At 46.5% G+C, this 21,132-nt stretch overlaps 1 protein-coding gene and 1 long non-coding RNA gene across 2 annotated transcripts; one reads left to right on the forward strand and one right to left on the reverse strand.

Moving 5' to 3' along the window:
* Nucleotides 1–6,624: 6,624 nt before the first annotated feature.
* SPATA31A7 (SPATA31 subfamily A member 7) lies at nucleotides 6,625–12,869 on the forward strand. The gene is made up of 4 exons (NM_015667.2): nucleotides 6,625–6,842; nucleotides 8,042–8,099; nucleotides 8,668–8,728; nucleotides 8,984–12,869. Exons 1-4 carry the CDS (start codon nucleotides 6,654–6,656, stop codon nucleotides 12,717–12,719), a joined length of 4,044 nt encoding a protein of 1,347 aa, NP_056482.2. The 5' UTR covers nucleotides 6,625–6,653; the 3' UTR covers nucleotides 12,720–12,869.
* LOC124902165 (uncharacterized) lies at nucleotides 10,800–20,035 on the reverse strand. Its single transcript, XR_007061523.1, has 2 exons — nucleotides 19,409–20,035; nucleotides 10,800–12,160 (listed from the first exon to the last, which is right to left on the reverse strand). It is a non-coding gene; the product is annotated as an uncharacterized LOC124902165 (long non-coding RNA).
* Between the last annotated feature and the right edge of the window lie 1,097 nt (nucleotides 20,036–21,132).

The raw sequence follows: 21,132 nt of genomic DNA on the forward strand, positions 1-21,132 counted from the left end.
TGCACAGCAAGAGAGAAATAAAAGAACAAAGAAACTGCAAAATGCCTATCAATAGTTACTTTAAATATCAGTGGACCAAATTAGAAAAGACACAGAGTGGCTGAATGGACAGTAAAACAATAACCAAATATATGCCGCCTATAAGAGATTCACTTCACCTTTAGAGACACACATAGACTGAAAGGAAAGACAGGGAACAAAAAAAAGAAAGAGTAGCTATTCTTACAACAAACAAAATAGACTTTAAGTCAAAAACTGTAACAAGAGGGAAAGAAAGTCATTATAGAATGATACAAGGGTCAATTCATCAAGAGGATATAATTACTACAAATATATATTCTCCCAACATTGGAACACCTAATTGTATAAAGCAAATATTAACAAATCTGAAGAGAGAAGTGACAACAATAATACAATAACAGTTGGGGACTTCCATATCCCACTTTCAACAATGGATTGATCACTCAGACAGATAATCAATAAGGAAACAGATGACTTGAACTACACTATAGATCAAATGGACCAGACATATACGGGACATTACTTTCCAAAACAGCAAAATACACATTCTTCTTGAGCATACACAGTACATTCTCCTACACAGGTCATATATTGGGCCAGAAAACAAGTCTTAGCAAATTTAAGAAGATTGAAATCTTATCAAGTATTCTTTTTGACCACAGTGGCATGAAACTGAAAATTAAAAACAGGAGAAAACTTAGAAAAGTGACAAATATGTGGAAATCAACCAACACACTCCTGAGCAACCAATAGATCAAAGAAAACATCAAAAAAGAAATAAAATATCTTGAGACAAACTAAAATGAAAGCACAACATACTAAAACTTATGAGATGAAGCAAAAGCAATTCTAACAGGGAAGTTTATACAGGTTAAGTGCTAAATGAAGAAAAAAGATCTCAAATAAACAATAAACCTCAAAGAAATAGAAAAGAAAAAAAATGAAGCCCAAAATTAGAAGAAGGAAGGAAATAACAAAGATGATAGCAGAAGTAAATGAAATACACTAGAAAAACAATAGAAAAGATCAATGAAACAAAAAGCTGATTTTTTGAAAACATAATGGCTGGGCGCGGTGGCTCATGCCTGTAATCCCAGCACTTTGGGAGGCGGGCAGATCACGAGGTCAGAGATCAAGACCATCCTGGCTAACATGGTGAAACCCCGCCTCTACTAAATATACAAAAAATTAGCAGAGCCGGGCAGCGTGCGCCTGTAGTCCCAGCTACTTGGGAGGCTGAGGCAGGGGAATGGCATGAACCCAGGAGGCAGAGCTTGCAGTGAGCGGAGATTGCGCCACTGCACTACAGCCTGGGAGACAGAGCCAGACTGAGTCTCAAAAAAATAAAATAAAATAAAATAAAAATAATAAAAATTGAGCAACCTTTCACTAGGCTAAGAAAAAAGAGAGAAGCCTCAAATAAATAAAATTAGAACAAAAAAGCAGATATTAAAATTGGTACCATAGAAATACAAAGGATAATAACAGTCTAAACAACTATGTGTCAACAAATTGTTTAACTTAGAAGAAATAGAGAAATTTCTAGAAACATACATCCCCTAAGATTGAAACATGAAGAAATAGAAAATCAACACAAATAATGAGTAAAAATATTGAGTCAGTGGTCAAAAAGCTCCTGAAAAAGGAAAATCCAAGACCAGATAGCTTAGTGGAGAAGTCTAGCAAATGTTTAAAGAAGAATTAGTACCATTTCTTCACAAACTCTTCCAAAAGTTGAAGAGGAGGGAATACAAACATTTTTTATGAGGCCAGCATTACCCTGATAACAAAGACAGAAAAGATACTACAAGGTTGACAGATATTTTTAAGGTGCAAATGATGTATTGTTGGAATTGAAAATACAGGATTTGTTTGTACAAAGATTTGTGTGTGGATAGGTGGATGCGTACTGGTGTGTGCATGCATACATATACAAGCTTACCTTGTTTTATTGCACTTCACTTTATTATGCTTCTTGGATATTGCATTTTTTACAGGTTGAAGGTTTATGGCAACCCTGCATCAAGCAAGTCTACCAGTGCCACTTTTCTGGTAGCATGTGCTTATTTTGTATCTCTGTGTTACATTTTTGTAATTCTTGCAATATTTCAAATGTTTTGTTATTATTATATCTGTTACGGTAATGTGTGATCAGTGATCATTGATATTACTATTGTCATTGTTTTGGGGCATCACAAACCATGCTCCAAAAGACAATGAGCCTAATTGATACATATGTGTGTCTGAATGGTTCCATCGATCTGCCCTTCCTCCATCCCCCCAACTCCTCAGGTCTCCCTGTTTTCTGAGACACAGGAATATTGAAATTAGGCCAATTAATAACTCTACAAAGGCCTCTATGTGTTCAAGTGAAAGTAAGAGTCACACATCTCTTATTTAAATCAAAAGTGAGAAATGATTAAGGTGAGTGAGGAAGGCATGTTAAAAGCTGAAACAGGCCAAAAACTAGGCATCCTGCACCTAACAGCCAAACTGTGCATGAAAAGAAAAAGTTCTTGAAGGAAATTAAAAGTATTACTCCAATGAACACATGAGTGGTATGAAAGTGAAAGAGACTTATCGCTGATATGGAGAAGGTTTGAGTGGTTTGGATAGAAGATCAAACCAACCACAACATTTCCTTAAGCCAAACCCTAATCGAGAGCAAGGACCTAATTCTTCTTAATTCTCTGAAGGCTGAGAGAGGTTGGGAAGCCACAGAAAAAAAGTTTGAAGCTAGCAGAGATTGGTTCATGAGGTTTAAGGAAAGAAGTCTTCTCCATAAGATAAAAGTGCAAGGAAAAGCAGCAAGTGCTGATGTAGAAGCTGCAGCAAGTCATCCATAAGATCAGCTAAGAGAAGCAACAAAGGTGGCTACACTAAACAAAGCTTTTTATTGCAGATAAAACAGCCTTATATTGGAAGAGGATGTCATCCAGGACTTTTACAGCCAGGTAGCAAAATAAATGCCTGACTTCAATGCTTCAAAGAACAGGATGACTCTTTTGTTAGGGGCTTAAGCTGAAGCCAAAGCTCATCTACCATTCTGAAAATTCTAGGGCCCTTAAGAACTATGCTACATCTACTCTGCCTGTGCTCTATAAATGGGACAAAGCCTGAATGACATCACATCTGTTACGACATGAATATTTTAAGCTCACACCTGAGAACTACTGCTTTAAAAAAAGATCTCTTTCAAAATATTATTGTTCATTGACAATTTACCTGGTCACCCAAGAGCTCTGATGGAGAACTACAAGAAAATTAAAGCTGTTTGCATGCCTGCTAATACAACATCCATTCTGCAGCCCAGGGATCAATGAGTAATTTAGACTTTCAAGGCTGATTATCTGAGAAATACATTTCATAAGGCTGTAGCCACCATGTATAGTAGTTCCTTCGATAGATCTGGGCAAAGTAAGTTGAAAACCTTCTAGAAAGGTTTCACCATTCTAGAAGCATTTGCAATTCATGGGAGGAGGTTAAAATTAAGAACATTTGTGATTCATGGGAGGAGGTTAAAATATCAATATTAAAAGAAATTTGGAAGAAGTTGATTCCAATCCTCATGGATGACTTTGAGGGTTCAAGACTTCAGTGCAAGAAGTAACTGCAGACGTGGTGGAAATGGCAAGAGAACTAAGATTAAAAGATGTGAAGAGAACTTAAGATGTGGCTGAATTGCTGAAATCTCATGACAAAATTTTAACAAATGAGAACTTGGATGAGCAAAGAAAGTGGTTTCTTGAGATGGAAACTACTCCAGGTGTAGATGCTGTGAACCTTGTTGAAATGACAACAGAGTATTTAGAAAATTGCATAAACTTAGTGGATAAAGCAGTGGCAGGGTTTGAGAGGATTGTCTCCGATTTGAAGGAAGCTCTACTGTGGGTAAAATGCTGTCAAACAGCATTGCATGCTACAGAGGAATCTTGAAAGAAATAGTCAACTGATGTAGCAAACTTCATTGTTGTCTTATTTTAAGAAATTGCCACAGCCACCTCACCTCCAGCAGCTTCCACCATGATGAGTCAGCAGCCACAACACTGAGGCAAGGCCACTGACCAGCAAAAAGATCATGATGTTGAAGACTCAGGTGATCGATAGCATTTTTAAACAGTAAAATAATTTTTGACTAAGGTATGTACATTGACTTTTTTATACATAATGGTATTGCCCACTTAATAGACTACAGTATAGTATAGACCTAACTTTTATATGCACTGAGAAACCAAAAATTCTGTGTGATTTGCCTTATTGCCATATTTGTTTTATTGCAGAACTGGCCACCAGAATCTTCCCTTCCCCTAGAACGCCCTTCACCCAAGCCACCTGCATTTTCCCCTCACCCATCATACCCACCCCCATTGTCTGGCCTGCCCTCCACCTCCTCCAAAAGCCTTCATTGCTCCCCCACTGCTGGACTGCATTCTGACTCCGTCTCAATGTGACTCAATGGCACTTCCATTGGGCACTGCCCTAAAGAGCTCATCTCCACAGTGGCCTGAAACCAAACCCACAGTATCTCTGAGGTATGCCTATGTAGCAGTCCCATAAGTTATCGTGCACTTTAAGCATTACCAAGTCCAGAACTGTAAATGCTACACATTTACAGAAATACCACTTGAAGGTTTAACTACTTATAACTGTTTCATAATTAGAATTACAAATTTTGAATATTAATTATTTTAATTGGGGGGAGGGGCCAAGATGGTTGAGTAGAAACAGCTCTACTCTACAGCCCCCACTGAGACAAACATAAACAGCGAGTGAATTCTGCATTTCTAACTGAGGTATCCAGATTCCCTCATTGGGACTGACTAGGCAGTTGGTGTGACCCATGGAGAGCAAGGAAAAGCAGAGTTGGGCGACAGTTCACCCAAGAGCTACACAGGGCAAAGAGACCTCCCTCCTCCAGCCAAGGGAGGCAGTGAGGGATTGTGCTACCCACCCGGAGAACTGTGCTTTACCCACAGATTTTTGCAAACCCCAGAACAGGTAATCCCTTTGTGAGTCCACACCACCAGGGCCTTGGGTCCCAAGCACAAAGCTGTGCAGACCCATAGCAGGGGCTCCAGCTGGCAGCCACTTGGGCAGGTACTGAGCTGTAGGAGTTTCTGCGTACTCTGGTGGCTCGCAGAAATCCAGTGAAGCAGGAGATCCATCAACTCCCATGAGAAGAGGGCTGAAGCCAGGGAGCCAAGCAGACCCACTCCCACAGAACCCCACAAGCTAAGACCCACTGGCATGGAATCCCCACTGGCTAGCACAGCACCTGGAGTCTGCCTAAGAAGACCAAGTTCCTGGGGGGAAGGGTGACCGCCATTACTGCGGGTCTAGCCGGTGGTTTTCCCCCACCAGTGCTAGGGAGACTGGGTGGTTTGCGCTGGGCAGAATTCCCCACAGTGCAGTACAGAGGCTGTGGCAGATATACCATTATTGCATATCCAAAGGAATATAAATCATTCTATTACAAAGATACATGCACGTGTATGTTTATTGCAGCACTGTTCCCAATAGCAAAGACATGGAATCAACCCAATGCCCACCAATGATAGACTGGATAAATAAAATGTGGTACATATACACCATGGAATACTATGCAGCCATAAAAAGGAATGAGATCAAGTCCTTTGCGGGGACATGGATGAAGCTGGAAGCCATTATCCTCAGCAAACTAACACAGGAACAGAAAACCAAATACCACATGTTCTCACTTACAAGTGGGAGCCGAACAATGAGAACATATGGACACTGGGAGGGAAACAACACACCCTGGCACCTGTCGAGGGAGGGCCGGTGGTAGGGAGAGCATCAGGAAAAATAGCTAATGCATGCTGGGTTTAATACCTAAGTGATGGGTTGATAGGTGCAGCAAATCACCATGGTACATATTTGCCTATGTAAGAAAACTGCATGTCCTGCACATGTATCCCGAAAGTTAAAATAAAATAAATACATAAGTACACAAATAAAATTTTAAAAGACAAAAAAAAAAATCTTAATTGTATGTGGGTAGTTCCCTTTGATTGAAAGTGAGATAGAAATAATTTTTTAAAACTTACTATTCAAAATTTGCAAAACTAAATAAGAGTAAAAGAAATTTACATTTTGTCCCTGGATTGATACAAGACAAAAACATAGTGTGGAAAAGCTGGAGTTGAGGATGAACGAGATTCTGAGAATAAAAATCCCTGGTACATAGCCAAAATTTCAGAACTTCAGATTTTCAAGGGCTATAAAATAGGTAACCTCAAGCCACCGTCTCCAACAGATAAAAGGAACCAGGTAATATCTATATTCCAGGGAGAAAGAATAGAAAATTGGCTATCACTGACAAAACTTAGTGGGAAGGAGGGATCTAGAAGGTGGGATGGTGGAGGGATCCCCAGCTTGGGGGGTGGGGAGGGGCTGTGCTTCAGTCTCCCCCTCCCCTGCCCCTCTCCCTCCCTCTCCCCCTCCTGCTGCACCTCCCCCTCCCTCTGCGCCTCCCCCTCCCACTGCCCCTCCCCAACAAAGGAGCCCTTTGTGACATCAAGGCCCCACCTCTGTGACGCAGGCCTGGGCCCCAGTCCCTAGTCCCCACGGGGATGCCCAGAGCTCAGTTGCTTGAAAGCAACGCGCCTATTCACATGGAGAATCTTCCCTTTCCTTTAAAATTACTTAGTGCCTCATCGCTAAACGCCCCCAGTTCCACACCATGGGTGTTGGATATCTTCCTCACTTTGGTGTTTGCCCTGGGGTTCTTCTTCCTATTACTCCCCTACTTATCTTACTTCCGTTGTGATGACCCACCCTCACCATCGCCTGGGAAGAGAAAGGTAAGGAACCCTCAGTCCCAACCCACAGAGCTTGATTCTCTCCTTTCTTTTTATTATTAGTTCCACTTTTCCAAATCCAGTGGAGAGCCTTCTATGATGGGAAGTCTCAGAAGAGACCAGAACATCATCCTTCCAGGGAGAGGCAGGGCAGCCAGGGGTTGGTAGGGGTAGATAGTGTACTGGGATTTCCATCCCAAGCTCTCAGTCCATCTGTGGGGGAGCACAGGAGGCATCAAGGCAAAATCAAACCAGTGGACTCAGCACCAGTACCAGTCATGAGACTGGGGAGGTCTCTGTCCGAGACCAGGCCCTGAGCCCTGGCTCATCAGCCCCTTTCTGGTGCAGGTGGCTCAGGGCCCAGCCTCCCCTGTGTGGGGTGATCTGGGGCCTGTGCTGGGCCCCTGAGGGCCTCCCACCAGGGCCTGGTGTCTCCTCTGGTCTTCTGGGAAGCAGAATCCTACCTGATAGCTCAGCAGTGCCTGCGGGCCTGAACTTGGGTGTTCCTGGAGCAGAGGAACAGGGACTGAAGGTGTCCGTGGTGGACCTCATATTGAAAATCCCTCTGTGTGTGTGTGTGTGTGTGTGTGTGTGTGTGTATTTTTATTTTATTTGTGTGTGTTATTTTTATTTTATTTTATTTTATTTTATTTTATTTTATTTTATTTTATTTTATTTTTTGAGATGGAGTCTCGCTCTGTGGTGCAGGTTGCAGTGAAATGGAGTGATATCGGCTCACTGCAACCTCTGCTTCCTGAGTTCAAGCGATTCTCCTGTCTTAGAGTCCTGAATAGCTGGGGATTACAGGCGCCCACCACCATGCCTGCCTAATTTTTGTATTTTTAGTAGACACGGGGTTTCACCATGGCCAGGCTGGTCTCAAACTCCTGACCTCAGGTGATCAACCCACCTTGGCCTCCCAAAGTGCTTGGATTATAGGCGTGAGCTACCACGCCCAGCCCCCTCTTGCTGTTTTTCTAAGAAGAAAAGCAGTTTATCATCCATTTAAACAAGAGTGGGAGGAAGCACACAGAGCTCCCTGAGCAAGACAGAGAGAGCCATGCGGTTCCTGAGTGCAGCATGCTGCGGCTGGGCTGGGGCAGAGAGGGAGAGCCGGTCCTAGCTTCTCACCCTTTCTTGTCTCCCATTGTCATCTTGTCTCTCTGCGTCATCTTGTCTCCGTACGTCATCGTGTCTCCCAGTGTCCAGTAGGGCGGAGGCGGAGGCCCAGAGGCAGGATGAAAAACCACAGTCTGAGAGGTAAGGCTCTGCCAGAGCACACTAGAGTTAATTTGATCTCATCTGTCCCGAAGGGAACTGACTCTGAAGAAGTCAGTTGAAGAAGCCTGAGGTGGGGGCTCCTAGGAAGGAAATCAGAACCCCGGGTCCTTCTCAGATTCCATGCGGGAATGAAGCCATGGTGGGCCAGGGACTGGGCGTTACCCAGCAGGGGGCAGTGTGTGTGTCCTGGGGAGACCAATGCCTGCCTGGATGCGGAGGGGGGTGAGGGGGCCTCCCGCTCCCTGGGAACAGCTGTCCAACTCTGCTAAGGCTGATTCCTCTTTGAGACCACCTCAGTCCTTTCTCCCCACAGGGCAGTTGTGAGGACTGTGGGGGTGGGGGGTCCGTGTGTGGAAGCCCTTTGTGAATGAAAAAGCCTTGTCCTCCATGCCTTGCTATTAACGTCGGGGTCATGTGGCTTTGGACACAGATGGGTGGGGTCCAGGGTCTAATTCCCCATGGTCCTCCCTAAAGAAACAGCCACTCAGCCTCCTGTGAGAACCCAGGCCCCTCCCTCACTGCCCTAACCCAGTCTCCTGATTTCCAGCTGGTAGAGAGTGCCCGAGAGGCCTGGAGGAGACTTCGGACCTGCTTTCACAACTGCAGAGGTGAGGCACTTCCCCTTCCCTGCATCCTTCCTACCAGGGCTGGGACGTGACCCCAGGGCCACAGGCAGCCTGGAGCTGACCTGGGATGGGGAGACCAGGGGGACAGAGGATGGGAGTAAAACCCTGGGGCGAGGGGTAGCAGGAGAATTGGGCAATCAGGGTGTGGGGTGGTGGAGGGGCTGTGGCCCGAGCACCCACTCTGCCCTCCGGCCCCACCGGCTCCTGGCTGCAGCTCGTGCCTCCTGTCTCCTGCAGCCTCCTGGGGCCACACCTTGACAAAGGTGACTTTGGTCAGCTCTCCGGTCCAGACCCCCCAGGTGAGGTGGGTGAAAGAGCACCTGATGGAGCCTCCCAGTCCTCTCATGAGCCTATGGAAGATGCTGCTCCCATTCTCTCCCCGTTAGCTTCCCCGGATCCTCAAGCCAAGCATCCTCAGGATCTGGCCTCCACCCCATCACCAGGCCCAATGACCACCTCAGTCTCCTCCCTAAGTGCCTCCCAGCCACCAGAACCTTCCCTTCCCCTAGAACACCCCTCACCCGAGCCACCTGCACTTTTCCCTCACCCACCACACACCCCTGATCCTCTGGCCTGCTCTCTGCCTCCTCCAAAAGGCTTCACTGCTCCTCCCCTGCGGGACTCCACACTGATAACTCCATCTCACTGTGACTCAGTGGCATTTCCACTGGGCACCGTCCCTCAAAGCTTGTCTCCACATGAGGATTTGGTGGCTTCTGTCCCAGCCATCTCAGGCCTTGGTGGCTCAAACAGTCATGTTTCTGCCTCCTCCCGGTGGCAGGAGACTGCCAGAACCTCGTGCGCCTTTAACTCATCAGTCCAGCAAGATCATCTTTCCCGCCACCCACCAGAGACCTGTCAGATGGAAGCTGGTAGCCTGTTTTTGCTCAGCTCTGATGGCCAGAATGTCGTGGGGATACAAGTCACAGAAACAGCCAAGGTCAACATTTGGGAAGAAAAAGAAAATGTTGGATCATTTACAAATCGAATGACCCCAGAAAAGCACTTAAATTATTTGCGGAATTTGGCTAAATCATTGGATGCTGAGCAGGACACCACAAACCCAAAACCCTTCTGGAACATGGGAGAGAACTCGAAACAGCTGCCCGGACCTCAGAAGCTCTCAGATCCTAGGCTCTGGCAGGAAAGTTTTTGGAAGAATTATAGCCAGCTTTTCTGGGGCCTCCCCTCTCTGCACAGCGAGTCCCTGGTGGCTAACGCCTGGGTAACTGACAGGTCTTATACTTTACAGTCTCCTCCTTTCTTGTTCAATGAAATGTCCAATGTCTGCCCAATTCAAAGGGAGACTACAATGTCCCCACTGCTTTTCCAGGCCCAGCCCCTGTCCCATCTGGGGCCCGAGTGCCAACCCTTTATTTCATCCACACCCCAATTCCGGCCCACACCTATGGCTCAGGCCGAGGCTCAGGCCCATCTTCAATCTTCTTTCCCAGTCCTATCTCCTGCTTTTCCATCCCTGATTCAGAACACTGGAGTAGCTTGCCCTGCATCGCAGAATAAAGTGCAAGCTCTCTCCCTACCTGAAACTCAGCACCCTGAATGGCCTTTGTTGAGGAGACAACTAGAAGGTAGGTTGGCTTTACCCTCTAGGGTCCAAAAATCTCAGGACGTCTTTAGTGTCTCCACTCCTAACCTTCCCCAGGAAAGTTTGACATCCATTCTGCCTGAGAACTTTCCAGTCAGTCCTGAACTCCGGAGACAACTGGAGCAACACATAAAAAAGTGGATCATCCAACACTGGGGCAACCTGGGAAGGATCCAAGAGTCTCTGGATCTGATGCAGCTTCGGGATGAATCACCAGGGACAAGTCAGGCCAAGGGCAAACCCAGTCCCTGGCAGTCCTCCATGTCCACAGGTGAAAGCAGCAAGGAGGCACAGAAGGTGAAGTTCCAGCTAGAGAGGGACCCGTGCCCACATCTGGGGCAAATTCTGGGTGAGACCCCACAAAATCTATCCAGGGATATGAAAAGCTTCCCACGGAAGGTTCTGGGGGTGACTTCTGAGGAGTTGGAAAGGAACTTGAGGAAGCCCTTGAGGAGTGACTCGGGAAGTGATTTATTAAGATGCACAGAGAGGACTCATATAGAAAACATCCTGAAAGCCCACATGGGCAGGAACTTGGGCCAGACCAACGAGGGCTTGATCCCCGTGTGTGTGCGTCGATCCTGGCTTGCTGTCAACCAGGCTCTTCCCGTGTCCAACACCCATGTGAAAACCAGCAATCTAGCAGCCCCGAAAAGTGGGAAAGCCTGTGTGAACACAGCCCAGGTGCTTTCCTTCCTCGAGCCGTGTACTCAGCAGGGGTTGGGAGCCCATATTGTGAGGTTTTGGGCCAAACACAGGTGGGGTCTACCCCTCAGGGTCCTCAAGCCCATTCAGTGCTTTAAACTGGAAAAGGTTTCATCCTTGTCCCTTACACAGCTTGCTGGTCCCTCCTCAGCCACCTGTGAATCTGGGGCTGGCTCAGAAGTTGAGGTGGACATGTTCCTTAGAAAGCCACCAATGGCAAGTCTGAGAAAGCAGGTGCTGACCAAAGCATCTGATCACATGCCAGAGAGTCTTCTGGCCTCCTCACCTGCATGGAAGCAGTTCCAGAGGGCACCGCGAGGAATCCCATCTTGGAATGATCATGAACCCTTGAAGCCTCCTCCAGCTGGACAGGAGGGCAGGTGGCCATCTAAGCCCCTCACGTACAGCCTCACAGGCAGCATCCAGCAGAGCAGGAGCTTAGGAGCCCAATCTTCAAAGGCTGGAGAGACAAGGGAGGCAGTGCCACAATGCAGAGTCCCCTTGGAAACCTGTATGCTGGCAAACCTCCAAGCCACAAGTGAGGATGTGCATGGTTTCGAGGCTCCAGGGACCAGCAAAAGCTCTCTACACCCTAGAGTGTCTGTCTCCCAAGATCCAAGAAAGCTGTGTCTTATGGAGGAGGTTGTTAATGAATTTGAGCCTGGAATGGCCACAAAGTCAGAGACCCAGCCTCAAGTTTGTGCCGCTGTTGTGCTCCTTCCAGATGGGCAAGCATCTGTTGTGCCCCACGCTTCAGAGAATTTGGTTTCTCAAGTGCCCCAGGGCCATCTCCAGAGCATGCCTACTGGGAACATGCGGGCTTCCCAGGAGCTACATGACCTCATGGCAGCCAGAAGGAGCAAACTGGTGCACGAGGAGCCCAGAAACCCAAACTGTCAAGGCTCATGCAAGAGCCAAAGGCCAATGTTTCCCCCTATTCACAAGAGTGAGAAGTCTAGGAAACCCAACTTAGAAAAACATGAAGAAAGGCTTGAAGGATTGAGGACTCCTCAACTTACCCCAGTCAGGAAAACAGAAGACACCCATCAGGATGAAGGCGTCCAGCTACTGCCATCAAAGAAACAGCCTCCTTCAGTAAGCCCCTTTGGAGAAAACATCAAGCAAATTTTTCAGTGGATTTTTTCAAAGAAAAAAAGCAAGCCAGCACCAGTCACTGCTGAGAGCCAAAAAACAGTAAAAAACAGATCACGTGTGTACAGCAGCAGTGCTGAAGCTCAGGGTCTCATGACGGCAGTTGGACAAATGCTGGACGAGAAAATGTCACTTTGCCATGCGCGCCATGCCTCGAAGGTAAATCAGCACAAACAGAAGTTTCAAGCCCCAGTCTGTGGGTTTCCCTGCAACCACAGGCACCTCTTCTACTCAGAACACGGCAGAATACTGAGCTATGCAGCCAGCAGTCAACAAGCCACTCTCAAGAGCCAGGGTTGTCCCAACAGAGACAGACAAATCAGAAATCAACAGCCCTTGAAAAGTGTGCGGTGCAACAATGAGCAATGGGGCCTGCGACATCCCCAAATCTTGCACCCCAAGAAAGCTGTATCCCCAGTCAGTCCCCCTCAGCACTGGCCGAAGACATCCGGTGCCTCTAGCCACCATCACCACTGTCCAAGGCACTGTCTTCTTTGGGAAGGTATCTGATTTGGTCAGTCACAAATTCTTTTTTAGCCTTCCCTGGAGAAAAACAAGTCCCCAAGAAAAAATTCACTCTATGTAGAGAAAAAATATTTTCTCTCATGTTAGTACATGCAGAACATTTAATATTCCACAATATATATGGTTTTTTATTCATAAGAGGGTGATGGCTTTTATTTGTGCCATGCTTGGTGTGGGCTTGGTTTCCAGAAGCGACAGGACATGGAGGGATGTTGACAGTGGTGCTGTAAGCCCACCTTCATCCTGAGTTCCTTCACTGAACCTTATGTTTCCGTAATACCGTCTTTACACAAACAACAAAAAATTCTAAAAACAAGATGAGAAAAACCTATGAAGGTCCCACTCTGAAATAAGGTTCAACCCATCTTTCCACTACTTACTCTACCTCAAACTTCATGCAGCTGTAGGGAGAAGGTTTGCAGAGATGTCACGGGACTGAACATCTCCATGCAGGCTCCAGGAAGTGCCACAGCCGAGTACCTTCATGTGTCACAAAATAGTGGAAGTTTGGGTGGGAGAGTGCTGGGCCCTGAGTTTAGAAGTGGGAGAAGTCTTGACCCTGGGTATCCTGGTGGAGAATAGATAACGTCTGCCCCTGGGAAGCCCCTTCTCTCCCTGACAAAGGCTGGGATGGAGATGGGCTCTCTTAGCTCAGCCAACATGCAAAGCAGAGAGTCCCCATCCCACTGCCTCTCCCTTTCTCGCACTCTGGAGTGGCAGTGGGGACAGACCTTCCAGCTCTGTGCATGTGTAGGTGGGGGCTAGGGGGTCAGGGGGGCAGCCTTCATGGAGGTTGCTGAGGGCCGTGAACTCCCCTGCCCCAGATGAGTGAATGACCCTGCTCCTGGGTCACCGGCCTTTGTCTATCTCACCTACATGTCTCTCAGCTTCAGCGAAGTAGTTCTGGGTGAATGGAGTAGGGTATGCCTGTGTGTGCAGAGGCTTCTGATGGTGGGACTCTGTAGAGCTACAGGGGATGCAGACAGAGAATTGAAAAGGTGGCAAAGTGGCGTGTGTGAGGGAGCCATCAGTGGTGCCGTGAGCCAGGAGACTCTGACATTCCAACCCCTTAGACAGGCCTAGAGGGGCCTAGTGTCTCATCCTGGCCACACCCCAGGGTCTGTCTCTGCTCCAGCTCCCAGATCACAGACCCCTAGAAAAACCACATTTACCCCCAACACAGAGGGCCATATTAGTGAGAAGGCAAAGTGAATAAGGAAGATGAATTTCTTAACATCTTCGATAAGCTTGCACATAATAATCTATTGAACTTTTTTTTTTTTTGAGACAGAGTTTCACTGTTTTGCCCAGGCTGGAGGGAAGTAGTGCAATCTTGGCTCACTGCAAACTCCGGCCCCTGGGTTCAAGCGATTCTTCTGCCTCAGCCTCCCAAGTGGCTGAGATGATAGGCACCCACCACCATGCCCGACTAATTTTTATATTTTTAGTAGAGACGGGGTTTTGCTATGTTGGCCAGGCTGGCCTCGAACTCCTTGCCTCAGGTGATCTACTGGCCTCAGCCTCCCAAAGAGCTAGGATTACAGGCATGAGCCATGGCGCCTGGCCTACCTATTGAATTTTTTAAAGGATGTGTTGACAATAGGTGGAAAAGCAAGGACTAGAGAACCCCAGGCATGAGTCGAAGTCTGGTGACCTTTAATATACACGTAGCCCCAGGACTGCTCCCTGGGGAAAGGTGGCGACTTACAAGGGCCCAGCAGCTGAGCTGGGGTCACACAGCAAATCTCCCCTGGCTCCTGACATCCTTGCTTGTCCCAGAGACCAGCAAGGGAAGATGCAGGCAGGCAGGATTTGAACATACAAGGGAGCTGGAAGTGACCTGTCCAGAATGGGCAGGGTATGGGCAGGACAGGAGCCATCCCTGCTGTCTCCCTCTGCTTTCAGCACAGCTTTCCTCCTCTCTGGGCCCTGTCCATATGGGAAAGCAGGAGGTCTCCACAAATCATGGACAGGAGGAGCCAGGTCTCTAGAGGGAGTTTTCTCTGCCTTGTGCCACATACAGGCGTGCAAGAGGCCCACTTCCAGGGGCCTCATTTCAATGGTGGAGAGGCCAGTGCCAGGCAGTGCCACTGATCTAGATGACAATGGAAATGGCCCTGCCCCCAACATGTGGGACTGGCCGGCACCGGGGTGCAGGGGGCAGTGGGCACAGTCCCCAGCCTGTGGCTTCTCCTGGGGCCAGGTCCTCTCTGGGGCCCGGATAACTGAAGCAGCCTCCAAGGTGGGCCCAGCGGTGACAGCGGAGCCAGGATCAGCAGGAGGAGCTGGGACCTGGAGCAGAGAGCAGCCCCGGTCCTCCGGGAGCTCAGGAGAGTGTGGCACAGAGCTGGGACCCTGACCACTGAGGATGGGCCATGCCTGGCTGCTGCTGGGTTCCCTCAGGAAACCAAGACGCGAGTTCTGGGATGTGGAGGAGCTGGACGTGGAGCCCATGGCTCAGGCCAGGAGAAGCGCCACAGGCAACGCTGAGAGACCAGCAAGAACACAGGAAACAACAACCCCTTAGCCCTTCTGCAGCTCAGTCTCCCATGACATGCAGCGAGGCCAGCAATGGAGAGACCCACGGAGACCTCCCACAGGAACCTCACAGAGATATCTCATACAGAGTGAGCACACGGGGACCTCTCACTGCCACAGAGAGAGACACACTGCAGCCTCCACAGAGACCCCACGGAGCTCTCAGAGTCCTCATGGTGCCCCACAGAGACCTAGCACAGAGATTCCCAGAGTCCTCACCCAGAGAACCCCACAGAGGCCACGCTGAGAGACTTCACTCAGTCCCACAGAGACCTCCCGCAAATGTCAGAGACCTTCCATGGTTCTCACAGGGAGATCTCACACAGAGACCCCACAAAGACCTCAGAGACTTCACACAGAGTCATAAAACAGGGACCTCATGCAGAGACTCATGCAGCTCACTGCAACCTCCGGCCTCCAGCCCCAGAAATGGCACACGGCACCCCCCACTGCCTCACAGAGACCTCTCTCAGAGTCCTCCTCACACAGAGACCTTGCCTGGAGACCTCCCACTCTCCACAGAGACCTTGTATAGATTCCTCACACAGGCCTCAGGTTGCTCCACACTCATTGCCCAGAAACCTCTCACATAGAATTCCCTCAAACATTCCACACAGAGATTCTGTAGGGCTTTCACAGGGTCCTCACACAGGGTCCTCACACAGGGACTTCATATAGTCCATGGTCCCTCACACAGAGACCTAGCACGGAGATTTCACACAGGGACTTCCCACAGAGACCCCACAGAGACCTCTGGAAGATACCTCCCACACAGACCTTCTGCAAAGGCCTCATACAGAGGCCTCACAAGAGGCAATGGAGCCCTCTTGCTGCCCCATGGAGTCCTCCCACAGAGACCTCATGTGGCCTCACAGGCCTCGTACAGAAACTGACTCGGATTTCTTAGAGACTTTCCACACAGAACTCACGCATTCTGCGTGCTCCACAGAGACCTCACTCAGAGTTCTCACCAGGAGCCTGGCACTGAGGCCTCCCATGCAGCGCTCACACAGCGTCCTCACCATAGGTGAGATGCCCCTCACAGATACTCCTCAGAGATCTGGCCCAGAGGCTTCACAGAGACCTCACATCCATCCATTCTTTAGGTGCCTGAGCAGCCACCTGTTGACACATCCTTCTCAGTGGATATAAAACCACTCAGCACAGTAGCAGCACAGCCGGGATATCAGTTGCACTCCCCAGGAACCCTGGGACACCCAGATACTGTCAGCATTGCAGTGAAGGCGGTTTTCTGCTTGGGGACATCCTCACACTTTTTTTTTTTTTTTTTGTAATAGCGCTGCCTCTGAAAAGAATTATGGATTCCACAGGCAGACCTGCAAAATTCTTTCTTCCACAGGTTTCCATTAGCTTGAATTCTGACCCACAATTTAGAAAATTCATTTTTTTAAATTATTTTTTGAGATGGAGTCTTGCTCTGTCGCCCAGGCTGGAGTCCAGTGGGATAATCTTGGCTCACTGCAACCTCCACCTCTGGAGTTCAAGAGATTCTCCTGCTTCAGCCTCCTGAGTAGCTGGGATTATAGGTGTGCACTACCATGCTCGGCTAATTTTTGTATTTTTAGTAGAGACAGGGTTTCACCATGTTGGCCAGCTGGACTCGAACTCCTGACCTCAGGTGATCCACCCGCCTCGGCCTCCCAAAGTGCTGAGATTATAGGCATGAGCCACTGTGCCCAACCAAAAATTTTTAAGTGAAGAAAATGTTACCAACCTTCAATGAAAGAAAATATCTTATTTGTTCAGTTTGTTATTATCCAGCCAAATTACATCAATGTCATATATTTTTTAAAGTTTGGGGGAGACAAGACTTGAATTTGAGATGCCTGACTTCTGTACTTTGAAAATATGATAAAAACCTCTAGAAAATGAACCCCAGAAATGAAACAAACCAGCAAAGAGGCATCTGGACTCACACTGGTCTCCCAGGGGACTGTGCAACTAGCACATAATTTCATACAGAACAGCTTGGATCACGTTTGCAGAGTTCATTTTATTTTTAGCAAGCTAATAATCATGCAAAGATTTTTCACAAATAGGTCAAATCTCTAGCAATATTCTTATTGTATCACTTGGAAAAATTATACTTCTTAATAATATTATTTTATTCCTTAAAATGCAGTAATGCCCTCAAATAGTAGTATGACACATGTTTGTCAGACATGACTTAGTCCTAATGTTCCACAAACATAGCTTAAGCAGATGGGCAATTTAAAAGGATTTATTTTTTAAACAGTTCTATGAAACACGCATTCTCTAAGATGGGCAGTAGGGATCCATTTTATATTCATTACAGGGCTAAAAAAGGAATGTTTTGAAATCTTACAAAACAAATTAATCTATGCTTGAGATATATACATAGCCTAATAAAATGTATTGAGGAAGGGACACGTTAACATTTGAGTGGAAGAAGGTATACATTTAATCAGCATTTGTACAATAAAAATGAATTATGAATGGCCTCACTAATTATATACGCAGCACTTTCCAAAGGGTGCACTCTGGTAAGACTACTTACTTCTCATTGCTCATAAGCAAACTGTTGTCCTTGCCTTGGTAAAATCTATTTTAACAATAGCTGTTAAAGCATATCACTAGATTATCCAACGGGATGACAGGGTCACAGTCTTTTCTCTAAGAGAGGCATAGCTGACATCAAGGCTCTTTTAGCCTATTTGTTTCAACAAGAAATCCCCTTTCTATATTCATCATAATTAAAAAATTTTAACTTAATTTTTCCACTTCCTTATAATGTCACTGCATCGTAAAATAATGGAATCGACATGGATCTTCAGATTATACATATACATATATATATAGTTTTGTTTTTGTTGTTTTTTTTTTTTTTTTTTTGAGACAGAGTCTTGCTCTGTCACCCAGGCTGGAGTGCAGTGGCGTGATCTTGGCTCACTGCAAGCTCAGCCTCCTGGGTTCACACCGTTCTCCTGCCTCAGCCTCCTGAATAGCTGGGACTACAGGCGCCAGCAACCAATGACTGGCTAATTTTTTTGTATTTTTTTTTTTAGTAGAGAGAGGGTTTCACTGTGTTAGCCCGGATGGTCTGGATCTCTTGACCACGTGATCCACCCTCCTCGGCCTCCCAAAGTGCTGGGATTACAGGCATGGGCCACCGCGCTTGGCCTATAGTTTTTTTCAACAGCGCAACTTAAATAAGTTTAGGTATCAGAACAAAATAGAGTCAATTAGAAAAAAAAATTCATACAGAAAAATATACTTTTCAAGTTGACTGTTTTAACAGAGTTAAAATAAGTGATTATACTTCAGTCATTTGATTTAAATTTGCTCAGAGTGGCCAGAAAATCTAGAAACATAGAAAATGTCCATACTAAATAGTTGATTGCTATGACACGTTGAATGTGCTGTTCCTCAATAGTAATTCATAGTTCAGTAATCTACGCAAAATTGCAATGAACAATGTGCATTAAAGCAACATTTCCATCAATCAGTGTATATTCATCTGCCATATATTGCCTCAGATGATTTGAGTGTCTAATTTCACAGAATAAATTTGAGCCTTTACCCCAGAAGAAATAATCAACGGGGCTCAATCTATTAAAAAGATATTGACAATATTTCCAGGCTCTATTAACATCTATATTTTATTTTTAATTAGATTCACCTAATTCAAAGCTTGTAAATATTTTTACCATTTATATGTGCCCAGATGAAATGGATATCAATAATTAGATAATGGAGAAAACAACAAACACAGATCTTCTTTGTTGTTAAAATATTTTACGTCAGAGCACTTTGCTAGAAATAAAGTAATTTTTAATCTCCAGGCAAAAGACTGTCTAAATGACATTCAGAATGTATTACAAATTTAGATTTAGAATAGATTTATGTTTAAAACAGGCCTCATACTGCTTTCAACAAATCGGGCACTACAGAACAGAATGTGGGGAGGGTGACAATGATGTGATGACTTCTTAACACTGAGCAAAGAAGCAAAAAACAAGTTGTCTTTCTACAATGTTGATCCCTAAGAGTGATTTCCCTTTATAGATTGCAATATAATTCCAGTTGCATTGTTATTATTTTACAAAGAACTCCCACAGAAAAAACTTTCTGGAGGTTTTCCCCTATATACACACCTACATTCTCTGCCATGCTCACACCGTTGGCAAAGTATGGTGCATCCAGCCACAGACCATCAAGGGGCTTGATAATTGCCTCCTCCATATACCTTCTGAGGTCGGTCAGGTTTATAACCATTCGTGTAACACAATTCATCCTTATAACTGGGCCTATGGCCTTGTGGCTTGTCACCTTTTCCAAGCAGGTGCTTGTCATCTTGGTTGCTCAGAGGTTTGCTGTGGCATCTTCCCTCACCTGAGGCCGCGCTGGCCTCCACCATGTTGCAACCAGAAGAGCCCACTTCCGTGGGGACAGAGCTTCCGTGCTCTCCACAGCCACGTCACGCTGCCGCTGTGCAAATGATGCCAACTGTAAATCCCAGAAAACTGCAAAATAATGCTGCGCCAGGCACAGTCGGTGAGGATTTAGAGGATGCTAACGTCTTTCCTAAGAAACGTGGGTGACATCGGCCAGGCACGGTGGCTCACGCCTGTAATCTCAGCACCTTGGGAGGTCGAGGCGGGCAGATCACGAGATCAGGGGATCGAGACCATCCTGGCTAACACGGTGAAACCCCCTCTCTACTAAAAATACAAAAAAATTAGCCGGACATGGTGGGGGCGCCTGTGGTCCCAGCTACTCGGGAGCCTGAGGCAGGAGAATGACGTGACCCCAGGAGGCGGAGCTGGCAGTGAGCCGAGATCGCGCCACTGCACTCCAGCCTGGGAGACAGAGCGAGACTGCGAGACTCTGTCTCAAAAAAAAAGAAGAAAAAGAAAGAAAGAAAGAAAAGTGGGTGACATCACTCTGGTTCTAATCATTTTCGTGCTTCAGCTGCCCCCACTGGATCAGTGTTTCTGGTGAAACGCAATCAGTTTTCGGAGGGCCTCACCCTCCTTCACTGTAATGATGTTTGCAGTTCTTTCTTTCTCCTCTATGCCGAAAATCCAGAATTACCACCCCCTGTTCCCCATGGTTCACAATCTCAAACACGTTTCTCCAGTGACCACTTCAATTCACACAGCCATCCCTCAGTTCAAATATTGCCTTTGAACATCATGAGCAAGACCACGGCTCTTTGTATTTCTGCCACAGTTTCACACCAGTTACAGATTATATACATTCTTCACGTCAATAAGTTTATTTTGTAGAGTGTGGTTTCTGGAGTCAGATGAACTCTCCACCTACTAGGTCTGTTACTTGGGCAAGTCATTTCTTGCCTAGATTTACCAATTTGTTAGAGTTATATTACTTTACTCCAAAAGATTTTATTCTGTGAATTACATTGCTTTTCTTATTTTTTAAAAATTGTAAATCTAGGGATTTAGGCTTGGTTGTTTTTTTAAATATCAGTACTTATCTAAACAAATATTTGAAAATTTTTCTTTTTTCTTTACGTATATTAGAAATCTGGCCAGGCACGGTGGCTCATGCCTGTAATCCCAGCACTTTGGGAGGCCAAGGTGGGCGGATCACCTGAGGTCAGCAGTTTGAGACCAGCCTGGCCAACATGGCAAAACCCCGTCTCTACTAAAAATACAAAAAAATTAGCCGGGCGTGATGGCAGGCACCTGTGATCCCAGCAACTTGGGAGGCTGAGGCAGGAGAATCACTTGAACTGAGGAGGCAGAGGTTGCAGTGAGCTGAGATTGTGCCACTGCACTCCCGCCTGGGCAACAGAGTGAGACCCCATCTCAAAAATAAAAAAAAAAGAAAGAAATCTGTTAACAGCCTTGCTATG

This window comes from Homo sapiens, chromosome 9 (genome assembly GCF_000001405.40).
Source record: "Homo sapiens chromosome 9, GRCh38.p14 Primary Assembly".
Taxonomy (NCBI): domain Eukaryota; kingdom Metazoa; phylum Chordata; class Mammalia; order Primates; family Hominidae; genus Homo; species Homo sapiens.